At 37.4% G+C, this 22,098-nt stretch overlaps 1 protein-coding gene across 52 annotated transcripts in view; it reads left to right on the plus strand.

Moving 5' to 3' along the window:
- NRXN3 (neurexin 3) overlaps window positions 1-22,098 on the plus strand; it is a 1,697,919-nt gene that overhangs the window by 860,133 nt on the left and 815,688 nt on the right. The gene's annotated exons all lie outside the window — the stretch shown is intronic.

Genomic DNA, 22,098 nt, shown 5'->3' on the forward strand with positions numbered 1-22,098 from the left:
TGTAGCTTCTACAATTCAATCTTTTTTATTTGTAAGTATCTTTGCAGTTTTCTACTTTCAAAAGACTCTTAGTGATTTCTAATACCTCAAATTGTACAGGTACATGGCTTTTTGTCTCTTTCTCTGTGTCTTTTTTTTTTTTTTTTTTTTTTTAGCTTTTCATTGTAGAGGTTCCTACTTTTTATTTTTTCTTTCCATGTTTATTGCTTTTGTGTCTCTGTCTTCCTGATTTCATTTTGGTGTGGAAACTGTCTTTCTCTGCTATTATCAATATCTTACTACCTAGATCTCAATTTCATTTTATGGTTTAGCCTTTTGGTGTTTATCTCCCCAGTCGCTATCATCCTTTTAATGACTATTTGTGTTTCTGGGTCTTTTTTCGTGTGGCAGCTTGTCTTTTGGACTGCCTCTCTCTGTTTGTATCTTTCCAGCTATTTTTTATAGTCTCCTCCTACTTTTGGAGAATAGCGATATGTTGTTATGACATTTCTATTTGTGACTGCCTTTTTCCTCTATTGACTTCCCTTCCCCTTTCTGCCTTTCTTTTGAAAATGGCCCATCTGGATTAAGTTTCTATCAAGATCTCTTTCTATAAGCAGGATTTTTCTCAGGTATGTAATGGAAACCTTTTACTTCTGTTGAATGGTAATCCTAAGGGGAGGTCAGGGAATGGACTTTTCAGTTAACTGCTCAGAGGCAATTGTTTGTTTTACTTTATATAATCGAACTTTTATAAAACTTAGAATATTAAATCCAGCAAGGTTAAATATTTAGCCTTTTGTTAACTTTGTAAAATAAAAATAGAACTTAAATGATTCATTATAAAGCAATTATCTTAGAAAATGAATAGGTAACACATTATTAGAATCAATTTGTTCTCAAAGCTATGAGAAATAAAATCAATAATTTTTAGAGATAGATAAAGTGTTTTAGGTAATGTTTGGGAATAAGAAACTATAAGAGTAGGATTTGGCTATTTGCAAAGTACCTGACTTTTCCCTTGGTTCCTAAAGAATTTCGAAACAAAATGAGGGCACTATAAGGTTCACAAGGACTGAAAACTATTTGATCTTCTCATTTTTGGAAGAAAGTGAGAATCGTAATATACTTGCGAAACAGATTGGATTCCATCTGGTGTAGCCAAATTAATCCTTCTTTAATGATTGTTTATATTGTGTATCCAAAATCAAACTCAGTATCAAGAGTTAATTACAATTTATAATCATTTTGGCTCAACAAAACAAGAGGGAATTGTAAACAGTAAAGTTTATTTTATAGTATAAACATGTTAAAAACATGGATCTTCATTGGACCATATGTAAATTAATCAAATTATCTCCAGTTTTTGTTGTTGTTGTCTGTTTGTTTAAACGTGGTGCAGGAAAAAGCAATGGCTGCTGAGACTGCAGAGGTTTGTGAAGAAGTCTGTTAGGTTTTCTGAACATTCCTCCCCTCCGACCAAAAAAATAACCCAACCGGACTAAGACAAAAAACTGAGAAAACCAGGATGGAAATTTGACAGAGGTGTAGGAACTAAACAAGGAAAGGGAATGTTTCTCTTCTCTCTAGTGCAGGATAAATTTCATCAGTTCCCTGTCTGAACCTCATTAACCTTAATAATACACTATCAAAAAGTCAACTCTATGCAATTAGTATTTAAAGGTACTTGATATTTTAGGTGGGAAATTTATTTTCTCTGAAAAATCACACATGCCTCCAACAACTTGAAGCTTGCTAAAATTTATAGCAATAACATTGAATTCAATTACATTCAATCAAATTCCAGGCATCAAGTCGTTATTAAACATTTACCTCTATGGTCATTGTGCTATGGTTGGGAATAAGAATAATACTAAGGCAAGATCTTCTCCTTTACAAAGCTCTCAGCTGATTAGGAATCTCATAAATTGTCAAATGTCACTGTTTCAGCTAACAATGTTTCTACCATAAACAGAACTGACTCAAAGGGGCAAAAAGTAAATAAAGTACATGACATGGGAGCATACTCTCACCTGAGCCTTAGAGAGGAAACTGACATCTGTCAATTCACTTGTTCTGTTAATTCCACTTTGATATTTCTTAAATATATCCACTCACTAGGGCTAAGCCACACCATAACTGACTTCTAGGCATTCATCTTTCTTCCACTTAAATTCATTCTCCACCTTGCAGCTATTTAGTTAGTTCTTCTAGCAATACATTGGTTAAAACTAGTCAATGACTTTTCATTTCTTTCAGGATAAAATGCAGTATAGTATGCAGTGGTAGGAAATTAAGCACTAGAATTTGTGTTTAAATCCTAATTTCCTCTCTTATCTATCTCTTTGCCCTGGAGCAAGTAATTTTACTGCTCTATGGTTCAGTTATTTTATCTGTGAAACAGGGATAATAACATCACTTACTTCATAGGGTTACTAGTAGGAAAAATTAGTTAATACCAGTTAAGATGATTTGTAGAGAAATGGCACCTTCAATTAATGTTAACTGTTACTATTGTTGCCACCTCTAGACACTCATCCCTTCGCACTGCCCTTTTCTCATTTTTCCCTGGATTGTTTTGAGTTTCTTAGAACGTGTACATGCTGTTCCCTTTGTCCCCATCACTAGACTGACTCCTACTTGACTTTCAGGACTTCTGACTTTTTCTTCCTCCAGGAATCATCTTCTACCACTCCTCTGCATGGCAGGTTAGATGCCCCTCTTAAATGCAGGGTTAACCTCTATCGTACATTTCACACCTTGTATTTACTTGTTTGCTTCCCTATTCTTCCTTCTACAATGCATACACTTTGAGGGCAGAAACTCAGCTCTGTTTGTCTTTGCAGCTCTGTCACCTGGCACAGTACCTGGTTCATTCTCTGCAGAATGAGGAAACCTCAAGCATCCACTGAAGGGAACAGTGTAGCATAGCTCATATTACCAAATATCTGCATGTTAGAGGCTTATGTGTTTATGAGTAGGCAGGTGTCTTCATGGAACTCTGGTATCTTCCAGATGTTCATAGGTATATCTGGAACGATGAGTATCTGGCCAAGTAATATATGGAATCAGGAATATGTCTCTCCTAAAGAGTTATATTTTGATCAACCTCACTCTTACTGCAGTGGGCAAGCAGGTACAACCTAGAGTTTTCCAAACCGTTCAGATTATGAAACCTGTCGTTAGTAATATATTGGAAAACTCAATTATAGTGCCCTAAAGAGCTATAATAAGAAACACAGTTTGGAAAATACAAGTCTGAGTTAGTAACCAAGATGTCTTTTTTTCCTCTTGATTCTAGGATTATTTCAGGAGGTTGTGAGAGACACAATGAGGCCTTCAGCTCTGGGTAGACTAGTTTCAGCCGGAGCTCTTAATGGGCATCAACCATCACAAGTTGAAGCCATTCAGGGATGAGAATTCTTTTAGCTATTAGAACCTGTCTCCATATAAATATTTCTACCTTTCTCCTCCAGTGGTATTCTCTGAGCAGAGGAGATGGGTTGCATAGTGGCCTTAAAAGGCACAGCCCCAAATTTCACTGGTTATGTGGACATAATATGACTTTAGGATTTCTTATCACCCACTTCAAAAACCCCAGGGTCACTTAATTAAAATGACTGATTCCTGGAGCCTCAACATGTGCCTTCTAAATCAGACAGTCTATGAATGTGAGACTAAAGCCAAAGTTTGTACTGAGTTCTCCTGTGACTCTTATGCTCCCTCATGTTTAAGATTCTACCCTGAGTAGAGGCCACTTCAAAAATAGAAACTTTTTAATAGTTCTCTGTTTACAAGGTCAATTCTGTTAAGCCATAAACCATCCCATTTGGAATTAGTACTATAATTATGGTTCTTATTTCTTACACACACACACACACACACACACACACAGGTTTTTTGGAAAAAAAACATGTTAAGAGAAGACATTTAAAAGTTTAAAGAACTTAGATGTTTTATTTTGTGAGAAGAACAATTTTGGGGCAAGTCGCTTAACTGTCTGAGCCCCGTTGTACCATCTGGGAAATAGGAAAAGTGGCATCTGCCCTTGCTCCGCACTTGGGATGGGAGAGTCAAATGAGAAAGACTGAAAGCAGGTGTAAAATCTAAAGTACTAGGAAAAACAAGGTGTTATGATGTCTTGATAAACATTTGGTAAGATAGGAGTCTTGTTACACATAATAACATTTTTCTGAGTAATCTAGTTTGGTTTATTTTTCTGTGGGGTTTAAGAGTACATTTTGATAACTGAGAGTTTAAAACAATAATTTCAGATGTATTAAAAATTGTACGTGATTATTAGAAGTGACGAAAACTTCTGGGATTATATAAAATTGAGTTTTATACAACATTCTCTTTGACTCTAACAAGAGTTAAATGTTAGGAATCATTGATGTAAACTATTCTTAAATGATTCCACATTCCAAGCAAATGCTCTGGAGAACAAATAGGAGAATCATCTGTGAGATTAACTTTTTACTGATGCCATGTGGAGTAAGATTATCGAAGCATCTTACATTTAAGAATTTTACCTCAGACTTAAATAGCACGTTAAATAAAACAGGCAGAACTAACAAATCCTGATATCAACTTTAATTTCAACTTTAGCTCTTTTACACTTTTATAAGGCCCTTTCCTCTTATAAATGTAAACCTATTTTTTAAATGGAAGCTAATTTGTTAAGTCCATTCTATCAGAGGTAAATTGAAAAATGCCAGCAGGCAAGATAAATTTGACAGAAAATAGGTAAAATCAAAGTTTTATTCATGTACAGTGGTTAAGAATGAAGATATTAAGATAAATTATTTTAAGTGAGGACTGTCCTTTTAATAGGCCTCACTCTATAGCCTTGTCTCATTTTTCATTTTCACAAGGTTCTTGATGTATTCTTTTCATTATATAAAACGTGCCATATTTGGTCTTTTCATGAAATGTATCTGATATTCTCCTTTGACAGCCATTCACGTGAAAAGAAAAGGTCCTATTTCTGTCCATCACCTACATGCACATATTCATAGAAATCATAGATTTTTGGTAAAATATGCTATATACTTATACAGCATCTTAATCTCAGAAACCCAAAGGGTTTAGATCCATAACTGTACCATATTTCCTTTCTGTATGTTGAGAGATACACATGGTCAAATTTCCTAAAACCTGAATCTAACTCAATCTAAATTATATGATTTCCGTTTCTACACAGTGGAACAAGTGTGTGTGAAATAAAATCACCAGCCCAGAGGCATTCACCCAAATAAATCTTGGAGATTTTCTGCAACATTTCATCCCTCTACTTCTATATCTAAGTATTGCTACTTCTAGTTGGATGTAAAATGCATCCTTCTCAATTTATTTTTGTTTGTGGGGGATGGATGGAACTAACTGTTCCCCCACTACTTTATAAACAAATATAAAATGTGGATGTGTAGGTATTTTAAATGCTAACAGTAGAATTTTAGTATCTAGTTAATAACCCTATTGGTTGGAATTTAAATCTTTTCAGGAGGAAAAATTAATCATCCATTATATCATTCATCTTGATGCTGTCACTTTCTTCTTGAAATCAGAAAAACATCGTAGTTTTTACATGGTAGTTTTTCCTTGTTGGAGGACAGTTGCATTTTACTCCACACTGTTAAATGCATTAGGCCATGTAAGAGAAATATAATTCTGTAATTATTCAGAACTCAGTTGGTTGTTTATATGGTATTCAGCAAGATACTTCCCCCCCACCTCCAACTTCTTATAACACAATTTCAAAGCACCAATCGTCTTCCTCTTTTAAAGTAACACCATGACTGATTGCCTTAAATTTATATATGATCTTGTTCTAATGTCCTTTCTAAAAATAAGAAAAAAATATTCCACAAGTAAAACGAGAGTATGATAGATACTTCACCATGGTGCTGGTGTATGTAGACTTGCGTGAGGGGGAGGACATGGAATGGTATGTTCTCCATTCATCTCTAGTTTTATTTCCTAGATGAGTTATGGGTGAATACTGTGACAAAAACAAAACAACAACTAAAATGGAAAAGTCCCAGGAGTGAACAGAAACCAGGACTTAAACTGCTTCATCATTATTTTATTGTATTGTTTTCGTTTTGGGTTTTTTTTTTTTTTTTTTTTTTTTTTTTTTTTTAAGGAAGTTACAACAAGGAGCAGCTAAGGACAGATAAATTGGTAGCAGATTGTGGTTTATGATAACGACAGTCCCGAAGGAACTTGGCTTTCTTGGTGACGTTGAAGTAAATTGCATTACTCAAGATGTATACTAAGAAGGATAGATAATGAGGTGTATGGGGGAAAGGCATGATGACTATTTTTATAGTATTGTTGACTACCAAAATGAATGGAAGGGAAGGCGGGACCAGGTGGAGTTCCTTGGGTTAATTTCGATGTACCTTATAAATGACAAAATTTCCACCCACTTCTCTTAGAGGGATAAAAATATTTGAAAGTGTCTGAAACAATTGCCGACCACTATTTCAATTCCTTTTCCTAACTTCTAGTACCTTTGATTTACTCTGAATTCCTAATTTCTTGTTAAATGGGACCATATTTGTTTATAATTCACCTGGGTTAAAAATAATGTTTTCTTCTGAGAAGAGGAAAGAGGAAGGGAGTGCTCTAGCTTCTTCATCCAGAAACAGACTCTTATGTAAAACCCCCAGGAGATTCTATAAGATATCAGGGAAGATTCACCTAAAGATTAGGACCCTTTGAGCCTGACAAATCTCCTGTTGAATGCCTTGCTTTCAACCAAAGCTGAGATAAAAAGTGCGCGCATGTGCACACATGCTCAAATACACAGGCAGAAAGCTCTCAGCTACAAGACCTGCTTCCGTAGTTTACAGAGCACCTGTAGCCCATTTCCCCTGTGTTTTTTAGGCAAATCTTTGTTATCATGGTGTATGACAGCCACATATAATCTGAGTACCACTTCCTCCCTTCTTAATTTTCCACCATTTATGCCAATTAGAAGCAAAATAAAAGGGATGATTTCTGGTCACTTAAAATCGGGGTGAAGCAAGGATGGAGGTTGTCCTGCAAAGGCATTTTAATTCTAAAGAAAAAGGAGATTAGTGGCCTCTACCCATCTTAGAGAATAGAGTGTCCTGACACCTTCCCTTCCTCCTTGCTCAGTATTCTCCCTCTCCCTAGTGCCACATTGAGAGGAGATTCACTCCTAAAAGAGTGTGTCATTTTAAGTTGACTTTCTTGGAGCTGAGCTAAGAGCCATTGCCAAGGCCAGTGGGCGTAAATTCAGTCCGCCTGACGGGAGATGAAGGGTTGTGGGATTTATGACTTATTTGAGTTCTCATATATCACCCTCTGTGTCGCTCGCTTATGATGGCCCTGCCAAAAGATAAAGAAGTGTAGGACGCTGGTACGGGCTGTGGTGACAGGCCAGGGACAAATGTCTCTGTTGGGTAAATTGATTTGAATGACTCTAGTGAAATATCAGGTTAGGCTGAAAATATGATTGGGTTTAATGATCCTGCTGACTTTGTAGACTGTTGGGATTCCAAATCCTGGACAAGTTAATTAAGGCATTCTATGAAGGGGGTGTGTATGAATATTTGTAAATCCATGTAATTATTAATGTCAATAAATACCACCATGTAAAAACTCAGACCTGTTCTTTCACATAATATATTGAATGTCCATTGAATACAGGGAACATTACTTACAATTTATAGAGTATTTATCTGGGAAAAACTGTTGAGAACGTTATTTTTTCTCCACATCCCAGAGTCAACAAGCAGAGACCGAAAGGCATAAAAATGTGGAATGAAAAGATAGAGAAGAGATAAGCAGTTTATTCTCTCCTGGCAAAATTTAGTAGCCTTACCCTTAATAGTGGAGAAGAAATTTTTATGTGAAATTGGGGTTGTTTTAGGCCACTAACCCAAAGATCAAATGGATTGCTTTTTCAATTACAAAAACACATATATTGTTACCTTATTTTTTGAATGTGGCTATTCAGTTAAAAATAATAGAGTTTAGATTTCTTTGTAGGACCAAAATTTTTTCAGCAGGTTTCTGTTTTTCCACTTAAAATTGCTTCCAAATTTCTGAGTTTACTTCTAATAATGGGTATGCTCTCCTTGCTATTTTTATCTCTAGGTAATTGTTGACTGCTTGTAGTTTTTTCTTGTTGGGCATGAATGACTGGCTTCATCTTCCAAAAGTGTTACAAAACACCAGTTATTTCTTTGAGCTTTAGACTTTTCCTTTGCAGAAAGGAGCCTTATTTACATCCAAATGAATTCCCAGGAGAGTTTTCCACTGATGCCGACTGGTTAACAGAAGTACAGGCGAGCAGGAATCCCTCGCTACCTGGCCTTTCGTTCCCTGGTTCCATCTGGATCTCTGGGAAAATTTTCCATCTTTATTTGCCATAAAGTATGATTTATTTATTTCAACGAGTGGCTAAGAGCCCTGGAATGCCATCTTTAATGAGTGTAGGGAGGATGGTAAATTGGGTTTAGAGAAGAATATTGTTAAATATGTTCAACTTTTAGAACCCAAACAAAAACACAACCAGTGTCAGTGTTTGAGAGTGCTGTACTCATCTGTGAACGTAACAGAGAGGAAAGGTGTCTCCGAAAGAACTCTTCATTCTTAGGAGAGGCCCCAGAATAATCACAAAACTTGGAACTGTATCTATGGAATATAGAGGTTTCCTTGTCTTGGAGTGGATTCTTAGAGTAAAACATGCCTATATCCTTCTGTTCTTTTATCAACTTCAACTGACTGTGAATGATGTACTCACTGAGAAAAATCCATTTGCTCAGGTCTAATTTTAGGTAATTTCTCTTTCTGTATGTTAATGGAACCCATAACTGTTTTGCCTACTGGTTTCCAACTGAGGATTAATATAACAGTTTCCACTCAACAATTGTATTGCTTTTTTATCCCCCTTATTTCCTTTTCTTTCTTCATATGAGAATATTGAGAATAAGAGAGATTAGGAAATTTACACTGCTTCTGAGGGACAAGGCAGCTTTTGGACCCAATTATGCATGCCTCTGAAACACATGTTCTGCACCACACCATTTTTTCTGTTATGTTTGAGAGATAAAAAGTTGTCCGTCTGTCTACCTCTCCAGGCTAATGTCTCACCACATTCAATCAAACTTCTCCTTCCCCAGGCCAGGATTCATGCAGTCCCTACCTGTAATGTGCTTTTTCATATTCTTTTTTATTTTAAATAGAGACAGGGTCTTGCTCTGTTGCCCAGGCTAGAGTGCGGTGGTGCAGTCATACTTCACTTTAATCTCAAACTAGACTCCTGGGCTCAAGCAATCCTCTCATTTCGGCCTTCCAAGTAGCTAGGACTATAGGTGCATGCCACCATATCTGGCTAAATATATATTTTGTGTGTGTACTTTTTGTAGAGACAGGATCTTGCTAGGTTGCCCAGGCTGGTCTCAAACTACTGACCTCAAATGATCTTCCTGCCTCAGCCTCCCAAAGTGCTATGATTATAGGCCTGAGCCATCTTTTCATTATCTTTCTTCAGATCTCAAATTATTTGTCACTCACTGGAAGTGTACAGCTAATCTGAAGTGGCCTTCCACAGTTCCCATCTCGCTCATTACCTGGATAATTTCCTTTATAGCAATGACCACATTTTGGTATTGTTTTGGATATTGGTTACCTTGTTAAATGCCTGTCTGTCTTATCTCCTCCAACCAAAAGTAAACTCTCTAAGATCAGGAATCCTGCCTAAGTTTTTGGCCTGCATATCATCAGTGTCCTGCATATAGCAGGCCCAATAGTTGTTCTAAAAATTAATGTATACCTGAATGAATAAAAGCTCTTAGAGTGACAGAAATGTAAACAAATACTTCTAACGCTAAGAAAAGTTTGTTACATGTTCTAACAAAGATTTAACCAAAATGTTGTGGCTACAAAGAAAAAGATGGGTGAAGAAGAATGGACAAACACTAGGGGAACATGAGAAAGTTCCTGGAAGAATATTGTCATATATGAATTGAGACTGGTGCATGGTACAATTTCATATATAAAGATAGTGGGGAAAGCATTCTTGGAAAAGTCTCTTGTTGTGAGGCATTACCCAGAGTTCTTTGTCTTAAAACCAAGAGAATTAAGGAGCATGGACAGAAAGGGTGAGGTTGGAGTGAAAGTTTAATAAGTGAAGAAAGAAAGCTTTCCACCACAGAGAGGGGTCCCGGAAGAGGGTTGCCATTTTTACAGTTGAATGCAAAAGAAACTGATGAGGGCTGGGTGTCTCATGTGCATAAGGTGTGAATTTCTGGTAGCTCCACCTTGTCCTCCTAATGCGCATGTGGGCTCTTAGCTTGAGTTACTCCATATTGCTTTGTTCCCCTTACTGCACATGTGTTGAGGTGGAATTTTTCATTGCAGGCATGTCTGGGCAAGTCACCTGTTTAGCCTTTCTTATCTGTGTGGCTGTGGGCATGTCCTAGTTAGGCAAGTCCCATTTTCCAAGTTCCCTTATCTGTGCCTGCAGGCTGTTCTTTCCTTTGAGAGAATTCAGCCAAGGACCCACCCTAACTGCCTGCCTGACCACTTTCTTCCTTTCTCCTCTCTCATAATGATGTAACAGTAAAAATACCTGAGTTCAAATCCTGATTTTTCCTTTTAATAGCTGTTGACTTTGGGCTATGTGCTTAAAAAACATTTTTTGCAGAGCTTTCTCAATACTTGGCACATTATTGTCACTGTTTCTCCCTGGATCTTAGTTTTTTGGGTTGCTAAGTGAGCATAATAATCCATAGTTCAGAAATTTTTGTGAAATAATGTATGTCAAAGAGCATGGTTTTTAGCAGGTACTTTCATTCATAGAGATAGTAGCTGAGTTTAGGTGACCCGTTAAATTTGGGAAAGGATTATTTAAAGTCAAGGAGCAGATCCATTATGACACCATAATTAGAATGGATAACCACATCCGCAGAAAGTGCGCTGCACTATGAGTAAATGTAATTTTGTTCGTAAAGTGCTGGGCCTAGGGTTAGGGGAGATAAGTTCTTAATATGTCTTAATATAGCCTTGGGTTCTGGGATATGCTAAAAAATTATTCAACTCATTAGTGTCTCAGTATCCTTGTGCTTAAAATTATTATTATAAAAATACCTGAATGTGAACTTAACCTCTTCTTGAGAGTTTCAGTAAGGAAAGTGAGGCTCACTTCTTTCTGGAACATTAAACTTAAGCAGGAAGGTGCCACATGAAGTATTATATCATAATGGAAGCAATGTAAAAAGAAGAGTGAGTCACTTCATCAACTTCACAATGCAAAGGTGCTACCATAAGTCATAATTCTAATACAAAGATTTATATAAATAATGATTCTGGGATTAGCCAGATCTCCTAATGTTCTAGGGTTTGTCATCATGAATTGTGGTATCACTTAGTAAGTACATACTTAAAGAGAAGAATAGGAGGGGAGGGAATGTTAGAAGAATAGTGAACAACTAAAAAAATGTGAGAGATAGCCTGGAGAGAAAAGCAAAAGGACAAGGCAACACAGGAAAAAGCAAAGTGGAGAAACAGATATGCCTAGCAAGAGGAAACCAAAGTTAGCCCGGTAGGGTATTGTTGCAAAAGGAAAGCCGGCCTTGTCATTTATCTAACCAAACATTCCACTCCTCAGTGATGGGGTAGCTGCTCTTTGAAAGACAAGCAACTGTGATGGGGACCTGTCAGTCTTCCTTACATGCAGCTGGTTCTCTAAATATTCCAACGATTCCTATCATTTTCTGTAGGAGTACCTGCAAAACTGGAAGGCTAGGCTGATGGCTTTTTCTCCATTAAGCAGTAAACACGTTAAGCAAGCTTGAGCCAGGTTCTGGAGGAGGTCATCTTGCAAGGATAAAAAACATTGCATTTATTGGATGAATACTTAATGCACGGTTTGCCTTATCCCTACCTTAGAGATGAGAAAACTGAGGCTAAGACTAGCTAAGTAATTTACCCATGTTTGCATGGCTTGCTGATGATGGATCCGGATTTGAATTCCATTTTGTCTGACTCCATAAATCATACTCATGCTAGTACACTGCCCTGGCCTGGATGGGCCATTTTACATTGTGTTTTTCTTTTATAGACATTAATATGTGTAATAAATAGAATGGGAGTATGTATTATTAAATGTTAATTTTGAAATATAAGATTGTTTTCAGATGGAATATCCTTTTCATTCTTTATGATCCTTAATGCTGATTTGAAAATTAGAATAGGAAAGGTATGGCAAGTGTGTATTTGTGATGGGAGTAGCTAACACTGCTCACTTTAACAGTAAAGCTCTGCCATCTGGGTTATTGCAAATTCTTGTAAATTGGTATGGCCTGTCCTGCTGTCCTGGAAAGGGAGCAACTAGCACAAGAGAAACCAATCAAAATGCAGCAAAAGGATTTTTTTTTTTTGGTAAGATTTTGCTTAATTATCACTGCAGTAGAATGGCTAGCCAAAGTCAGAAATCTTTTATTTCTGCTCAGTGAGCAGCCCAATAAAGCTTCAGAACATACAGCACAAACAAATGCCATTTCATTTTTCTTTACTTCTTAAAAAAAGTTAATCAGGAATTTGTTAGAATAATCCTGTGTTAAATCAAGCAGCCAGACAATGAAATAGGAATTAAAGAAAATGAAAGTGGTGGGAATTATAGAAATATTAAATTATTTCAAAAACCCTACCAAGTGAATTGGTTAATAAGCATGTACAATTTATTGCCCTATGGGTCCTCTTTTTACAGGCATCTTTATGGTTCATCAGTTTGCTCCCATCTACACCACCTGCCTATAATTCTTGACAAAAGTCTGTTTTAGATACTGAAAGTATCCACTAGATTTGAGAACAAAGCAACCCTGTAGCGTGAGCCCAGAGTCCAGAAGGATGTGGGTGGAGGCGGATCAGGATCCAAGATTTTAGCAAAAGATGGCTTGCTTAAGTGAAGCAGTTTGCACTCTGCCTCTTTATTCAGTTAGGCCTGGTGTCCCTTCCAGCAAGAAAAGCAACTGGAGGTCCTGAAATTGCACACTCACCCAATTTCCCCAAATTCTTTACTTCTGAGGACTATTGAATCACAGAGATACAGCAGTAGACTTCATGAAGTTCATCTAGCACCTAGGATCTTGGGATCTATGGCCCGGGACAGCTCCTGCTGTACAGGTCTTGGGTAGGCTGCCATCCTCTAGGTGGTGGCGGCAGTGTGGCTTGTGGTTCTTTTTGAGTGTACACTGGCTGCCTTACTTGCGAGAATCTAGTTCTATCAAGTGTCAGTTAAAGGCCGTTTTTGTCTCTGATTGCATAACAGGGTATGTTTGAGAGAGACATCGCTGAGAGAAATTCAAAGCTACCATGTGAAGATCCTTTCCTGAATATAGTGTGGCTACCTCAGATCAGGATTCTCAAGCTTGGCAGTTTTGACATTTTGGACTGGATTCTTTTTTGATGTGGGGAAACTACCTGTGCACTGAAGGATGCTTTGCAGCATCTGAGGATGACCCACTAGATATTAGTAGCACCTTTCTCCCATGGTAACAAACAAAAATGTCTCCAGACATTTCCACATGTCTTCTGTAGGGCAAAATCCCACTGGCTAAAAGCCAGTGATGGAGTTTGTACTCTTTGAAATAAGACCACTGACTTTTTGTCTTCCACCTAATTACGCTCAGTAAGATAAGGCCTTCTTTTGAGGTAGACTTTCAACATCTATCTCTGATTCTTTTTGAGAAAACACGTTGCATTTTAATCTTTTAGTGACCGATTGTCCCCAAATGTAAAATAGAAAGTTGAGGGAGGCAGTAGTTATATGCACATATTTTTTGAGCCAGAGTTCCCTGAGTTTGAGTTAAGGTGTCCTGAGTTTTGAGTTAAAGTTCCCTGAGTTTGCTACCAATTAGCTATGAAACCTGGGCCGAGTTAAAAGTTAGACCTTTACAGTCTTAAGTCTCCCTTTTTCATGTGTAAGACAAGGGAGAATAATGATTGTACCTTTTTCATAGGTTTTGATGATGGTTAAATGAGTTGAAGTAGTGAAAGCTCATAGCACAATGGCTGGCCCATGTTGAATGCCTAATGAATGTTTGCTATAATTACTACTGTTGATGATAATACTTTTGAAAACATAGTTGACTTGTTATAATTAAGCCAGTGTTTACATCTGCTTTACCAAATACTTCCCATGGTTTTTATCTCAGAAAATAGACTCAAAAGTGAACACACACACACACACACACACACATATATACCACACATATGTACAACCTGCATCGTCTAATAAGCTCAGTGGTTCCATATACTATATCTTTGGCCAAATCCGGGGCTTTCTGATTAGCACCTCTAGTTTTTTTTTTTTTTTTCTTCCCACTCCTGCTATAACCATTCTCAGCATTTTCTTCCAGTTTTTTCCTTCTAGAACTACTGCCAGGTGAACTACAAATTATTTTCTTGATTTGCAGCCCATGCACCAATGAGAAAATGCCTATGGTGTCTTTTGATTTTATGGTTCATTGCTTAGGCCTTGTCATAAAAACCATGGCGTCTCTTAAAAGAAAATATAAAACAAAAACAACTTTCTCTTGGCCAGAGTTTATCAAACCTATGCCCATAATGGCATAGAAATATAGGAAATGAGACAATCCTACTCCCCCAATCCCCGTTTTCTGTTTATTTGTTTGATTCCTGCCAAAGCAAAGTGACCTTGAGGGGGCACCGGCTCAGTGTTTGCTTTTTCTGGCGCTACCCACACCCCTCCTTCTTCATCTCCTACTGCTCCCCATTCAGCTCCTCAACAATCGGCAATCACTCTGCCCTTCTGCTCCAAATTTATGACCGGGAGCAAGCCATAAACAGAGAAGGCCAATCCTGATCCTAGGCACTGCACCTTCCTGTTTGCCAGAGGTATGACAGCTTGATGGGACTGTAAAGAATAAGCCTGCATCCCCACAAGCCGCATGAATCATGTCCTAGGATAATGACTAGCAAAGGCTGCTGCAGAGACTGCAGGTGACTCAGAGCCCTGAGGCAGGGCTTTCCCTAAACCACCTAGAACAAAGGGTTCCCATGGATGTTCTCTCTGTGGCGTCATCTCACAAATGAGAAGACCTCACCCACTCTCTGATCTATAAAAGCAGCCTTTTTATTCTGTGATCCATGTGAAATGGCAAAGATCACTCCAGCTTATTGATGCTCAGAGAATTATGAAGGTGCCACCTGAATGATACTCCTATAGGAAATATTTGGTGAACAAGATAACGTTTTTTCATGGATACTATTTGCCTCCTCCAGTTGCCGCTTGGTGTGTATATTATTCGCCAGTGATTGATAATGCCTCGGGACCACCTAGTGATCTTGTTCAGTTTCTAATTTAGTTGATCTGAGGTGGGGCCTGAGAATTTGCATATTTTAAAAACTCCCAAGTGATGCTGATGCAAAACAGCTAGAAGAGAATAATAATTCAAATAAATGTTCCTGGTGTAAAGGAAAGATAAATATTTCAGGTGATGGATATCCTAATTACCCTGATGTGATTGTATGAATGTATCAAATTATTCCAGGTACCCTGAAAATATGTATATCTAATGGGTACCAAAAACAATAAATAAATAATAAAAATCTGCTTTCACCAACTGATCTAGGTTTAAGCAATGGAGTAACATGACACCAGTATAACACCTTTTGCATTTCTGAAAGCTTCCTTCCCCTCCTCTTTCCCCTCCCCTCCTCTCCTTTCCTTTCCTTCTAGATCTGACAGTAGTAGCTGCAGCTTATGCTTTAGATTTGAGATACACAGTTGGGATCTATGATGGTCCCTGAGAAAGGACAATGAGTAGAAGAAGCAAGGTGCAGAGAGGATCTAACAATTTTTGCATGGACATGAGATTTGGAGCAAGGTCTAGAAGCTCATATCAGCAAGGAGTAAGTATGCTTGTGGCTTAAAGATTATGGTCTTCAAGACTTGCTCCTGGACTGGAAATATTCCCCTAATTTTTTGCCTAAATGAAATGTGCTACAGGCCTGAGTATACCTAAATCAGCTTCATTTTTCTGTCAAATCCCTCCCTGTATGCTTCTTCCAGTGATATGTCATGCAGATGTCCACAGGGGACATAGGATCTTGTAGTGCAAAAAACATGAGACTTTCATCAGACAATCAGTCTTGACTCTCAGACTCACTGTTGATTCTATGACCTAGCTCAAGCTACTTAACTCTCTAAGGTTAAATATCCTCCTCTATAAAAACCTGATAGTATGTACTAAAGAGGGTATTTTTGAAAATTACATGAGATAAAACAGCCTAGAATGCTATCTGATGCAATAGTCATCCAGTAAATTTTAATATCATTCTACTTTGAACCAGGTTGTTTATATTAAATTTAACAGAATTAAGCAACATACAGTAGCGATTTATTCTGTGGGCTCTGGAGTCTGCCTGTAAGGGTTTGAGCTCTAGCTCAGCGACTTCTTTACTGTGTGAACATTGATATGTTTACTTTAATCTCTCTAGGCCTTAGTTTTCTGGATTTTGAGGCTTAAATGAGTTATTACTTGTAAAACACTTAGGAGAGTCTCTGCTATGTAATAAGTGTTCCCAATATATAGATTTTATTTCATCTAGTTGAATTTAGAGAGTAGCAAGCCACTCCCTTCCCGCCCCACCCCCGAAAAAAAAAAAAAACACACCACCACCAACAACCCACTTTTAGTGTGGCACCATATCTAAGAAGGTATTCTCCAAGACTTCTTTATGTGAAGTAGTTCAGCCTTGGCAGAGTTAAAAGTTTTCAGTTATAATCTTGACAAAAATTAATTGGGATGTATCATCAATCTAGACAATAGCTAAAATTATAAAGCTTCTAGGAGAAAACATGGGAAAATATCTTTGAAAGTGTGAAATAGGCAACAATATTTTAGAATACAAAAGCACTAAGTATATAAAAGAAAGTATCAATAGATTCAACTTAATGAAAACAAAAATTCAGCTCATCAAAATATATACCTAAGAAAATTAAAGGGTAAATTTTAAAATTTTTGTTCCCCAGACATAGACTGGGAGAAAATATTTTCAGGATATATATCTAAAAAAGGACCTGTATTCACAACATATGAGGATCTCCTGCAAATCAAAAATAAACACAAACAATAAAAATAGGCACTTTATAAAAAAGATACGTGAATGGTCAATAGTCCCATGCAAAGATATTCCACATCTTTAGTAATCAAGAAATTGTATATTAAAATCACAGTGATGTATCATTTTATACCAACTAAAATAGTTAAAATTTAAAAGACGGACAACACCAAATATTGGTGAGCATTAGAACTACTGAAATTGTCATACTTTGCACATGGGAATGTAAGATGATAAAACCACTTTGGAAAAATTGCAGTTTTTAATATAGTTAAACATAAATCTAAACTAAGACTTCGTAAGTTTACTTTTACATATTTATCCAAAAGAAATGGAAACATATATACACAATGACATAAAAATGTTCACATTAGCTCTTTAATAGTCTCAAAATGAAAACAAGACAGGTATCCATCAAGAGTATGGATAAACAAAACACAGTATATTCCTATGATGGAATACTAATATTCAATAAAAATAATAAACTACAAGTAAATGCAACAACATGTATGCATCTCAAATACAGTATATTTTTGTGGAGAGAAAGACACCAAAGAGTACATACTATATAATTTCATTTATATGAAGTTCAAAACTAGGCAAAATTAACCTGTGTTATTACAGAAAACAATACTAATTGCCTATGAGTATTGGCAGGAAGGGGCATGAGAGAGCTTTGTGGGATGGCAGAAATGCTCTACATTCTGATGGGAGTGTTGGTTTCAGGGGTACATTGATTTGTTAAAACTCATCCAGTTGTATATAGGCATTCCTTGGAGATATTACAAGTTTGGCTCCAGACCCCATAATAAAGAAAATATCTCAATAAATTGATTGACACCGATTGGCACACAGCTTTATTTCCCAGTGCATATAAAAGTTATGTTGACACTATTCTGTAGTCTTTTAAGTGTGCAATAGCATTAAGTCTAAAAAAGCAACATGCACACCTTAATTTAAAAGTACTTTATTGCTAAAAAATGCGAATGATTATCTGAGGCTTCAGTGAGTCTTTTTTTTTTTTTATTTTTTGCTGGTGGAGGGAGGGTCTTGCTTGGATGTTCACAGCTGCTGACTGATCAGGGTGGTGGCTGCTGAAGGTTGGGGTGGCTATGGCAATTTCTTAAAATAGGCCGGGCGCGGTGGCTCACGCCTGGAATCCCAGCACTTTGGGAGGCCGAGACGGGCGGATCACGAGGTCAGGAGATCGAGACCATCCTGGCTAACACGGTGAAACCCCGTCTCTACTAAAAATACAAAAATTAGCCGGGCATGGTGGCGCGTGCCTGTAGTCCCAGCTACACAGGAGGCTGAGGCAGGAGAATGGCGTGAACCCGGGAGGCGGAGCTTGCAGTGAGTCGAGATCGCGCCACTGCACTCCAGCCTGGGCGACAGAGCGAAACTCCGTCTCAAAAAAAAAAAAAAAAAAAAAAAAAAAAAAAAAAAAAAAAAAAAAAAAAAAATAATAATAATAATAATAATAATATGATGGGGTGTGCTGCATTGACTGATTCTTCTGTTTACAAAGAAAGATTTATCTGTACTATGTGATGCTGTTTGATAGCATTTTACCCAAAGCAAAATTTTCAAAATTGGAGCTAATCCTGTTAAGCCCAGCAGCTGCTTCATCAACTAACTTTATATAATATTCTAAATTATTTGTTGTTATTTCTAGAATGTTCACAGAATCTTCACCAGGAATAAATTCCATCTCAAGAAACCACTTTCTTTGCTTATCATACGAAGCAACTCCTCATTCATTCATGTTGTATCATGAGATTACAGTAATTCAGTCACATTTTCTCCTGTACTTCTGTTCTAGTTCTCTTGCTATTTCCACCACATCTGCAGTTACTTCCTATGCCAAAGTCTTGAACCCCATAAAGCCATCTACGGGGGTTGACATCAACTTCTTCCAAACTCCCGTGAATGTTGATATTCTGACCTTCTCCCATGTATCATGAATGCTCTTAATGGCATTTAAAATGATGAATCCTTTTCAGAAGGTTTTTAATTTACTTTGCCCATATCCAACAGAGGAATCACTACCTATATTAGCTATAGCCTTACAAAATGTATTTCTTCAATAAGACTTGAAAGGTGAAATTACTCCTCGATCCCTTCAATTTGTAAAAAATACAATATATATAAAGCACGATGAAATGAAGTGCAATAAGATGAGATATACCTATACCTAAAATCATGGGCTCCACTCTGTATAAATTGTACCACAATTTAAAAATGTATATCATATATATATTTAAATATTATAATAAAACTAATTTTGAATTATTCTTGATTCTAGGCAGTCTCTCTGCAGGAGTCTCACTCTGTTTGTTAGACTCTTTTCTTCCACCAGAATTTCTGTCCTGCAGCTCACCATTATCTAGAAAACTGAGAAACAGGAATATCATAACAGTAAACAAAAGTCACTTAGTTGATTACATGCATCTCTCAAAAGCCTGTACCTTCTGCTATGATTAGATTATTCCAGAAGCCTCTTCTGGAGGAATCTCTTACATTTGCCCTTCATCTATGGGATTCTGCACTTTCGCCTTTCTGTTTCTGTGTTGTCCTGAGATATCTCATGTAGAAATGAATTGATGGCCCTTTATACTGCGGTTGGACTCTTCATTCAGATTTTTTCAAAGCACATTATAAACTCTAATTCATTAACGTCATCATAAATGGTAATGTCCTGTGAAAAAGAGAGGTGGTGGCACCAATTAAAATAATCTTCTTGTAGTCACACATCAAATCAATGTCAGTGCAAACACTTGAACCACCAGTTAATGCAGCCCCATTTCTTTTTATATTGACAACAGCACAGTGGTTGAAGCTGAAATAGAACCTCAGTTCATACTTATAGAATATGCCATGCTGCACTTAACACATGGATCTACAGGGAGAAGGAAACAGAAGTGAACATGGACTAGATGAGAATCTGATGGACGATATGTACCACGTGCTTTGAAATAGCCATAAGGATGTCTGCACAAGAATATCCATGCATTCGTTCTTAGAATTTCAGGGCCGGTTGTAGCTCAGTCATTTTGCCATTGACTTAATTGAAATCCAAATCAATGCAGACACTTGCTCAAGGTCACATAGCTTGTTCTCTCCCAGCTCCCCTGACTGCCGGCCTCAAGCCCCTGCCTCCACAGACTGTGGGCTACAGATTCCCCAAGAGATTTCCTTATTCCCTGGATTCTCCTAAGTTTGCATAACAGAAGTACTTAAATGCATCACTTCATTTGGGTATGGGATTTTAAATAAATAATATGATACAAATTCTCTCACACTGCAGAGAGTCTAATAATAGCTTACAGTAATAGAATGAACACTCTGTGCCCAGAACTCCTTTGAATATTTTACATAACATTAACTTAATCTTCACAATATCCTATGAGGGGATACTATTGTTATCCTCATTTTATTGCTGTGGATGCTGACACATAGGGAGGTTTAAAACCCTGCCCCACATAATGCAGTTTGCTAGTGATAGAGCCAGAATCAGAATGTTGAAGGTTGGTTCTAGCAGCCACACAGTAATTGCTCTGACCTATCTCCTTTCTACAGGAAATGGGGTAGAGGAGATTCGTTTCCTCTGAAAAAAAAATAGCTAAAACCTCAATGATGAAAACCTATGAGTGACTAATGAGTATGACAGCTAATACTAAATGGACAATTGTCACTGTGCTAAGTGGTTTATTTCATTTGAATTATCACAACTCAACAAAAAAAAGTTATTTTCATCTTTCTCTTATACATAAAGAAACTGAGGCAGGCGGTGTTAAAGGAACATGCCTTTAGCCGCACAGGTGGAAAAGAGCATGAACCCAGACAGGCTGGCTCCAGGGACTGCGGCAATGTTGTAATAAAATGGCATTTGTTCAGTCCAGTTTTAATTGATGAGATACTAAACAGAGTCGGCACTAAAGAAAATTTCCTTGGAGAAACATTTATGCTTAGCTATTTCAGAGCTGGAAAGTCCCTTTGGTTTGATATAAACGGCCTTCATTTTTATGGAGCTGGCATCAAACTGATTTTAGAAAGAACTGGCCTTTCTCCAAGTTAGCCCTGGTCAGAGGAACCTAACACATTTCTCAGTTTAAACTAGTAATTCTCAAGGAAGGGCAAGGTTTGGAGAGAGAGCAGTGCACCGCTAAGGGAGGTATCAGTACCTGGAAGAGGGGAAGCAAATACATGTTCTGAAAACAAAACATTGCTGGAAGACGGATATCGAACTTGACCTAAGATTTTCTTTTCCATCTCCCCTGGCTAAGATGAACAAGTTTGCATTGGGCAAGTAGAGTCAGCATTTACACTGGTATCTTGTGCTTGGAGTGAAAAGCAAAATGAAACAAAAAGAGGTTTCTTTTTCTAAAATTGTTTTGGTTTTGATTTGCGTTTAGTCATAATTCTTAATTTATGTAATTTTTAACATTTCATAAGACAGCATGAGGATTTTGTTTTTGAGGAACATCCATTTTAAGTTTGAAGAAAATCCATTTAAATGCAGTTGGGCAGAGCTGCCACATGCCTATCCCATCCCTGTTCTGATGGTGGCCCTAAGACGTTTCGAAGAGCTTGGATTCTACTTATCCAAAACTAATTCTGTACATTTACGGGATCATCAGAATCATGAAAAATGTTTCTAGGGATTCTAGGTTTTTAGTAGAGAGAGAAAATGATTTCTAGGATAAAATTCAGATAAGCCTTGAGCTAGGAAACTCATAGTTCATGTTGTTACAAAGAACTAAAGCTGATTTTTCAGAGTACCAGCTTCTCAGAGGACCTGAGACTTGCGGATCTCATTTACAGATTCCAAAACCCCTCGCAGTTACACTGGACTGATTTTTGGCTTGGAAAGAGCAGTGGGATACATCCTGCACTAGCCCTTGTCCTGATGGATTGAGACACAAAGCTTGGCCTGAGCCTCTGTGTCACCAGTGTTAGAGATGATCTTTGTTTCTCCTGCAGGGAGCTTTC

Source organism: Homo sapiens, chromosome 14, assembly GCF_000001405.40.
Source record: "Homo sapiens chromosome 14, GRCh38.p14 Primary Assembly".
NCBI classification, from domain to species: domain Eukaryota; kingdom Metazoa; phylum Chordata; class Mammalia; order Primates; family Hominidae; genus Homo; species Homo sapiens.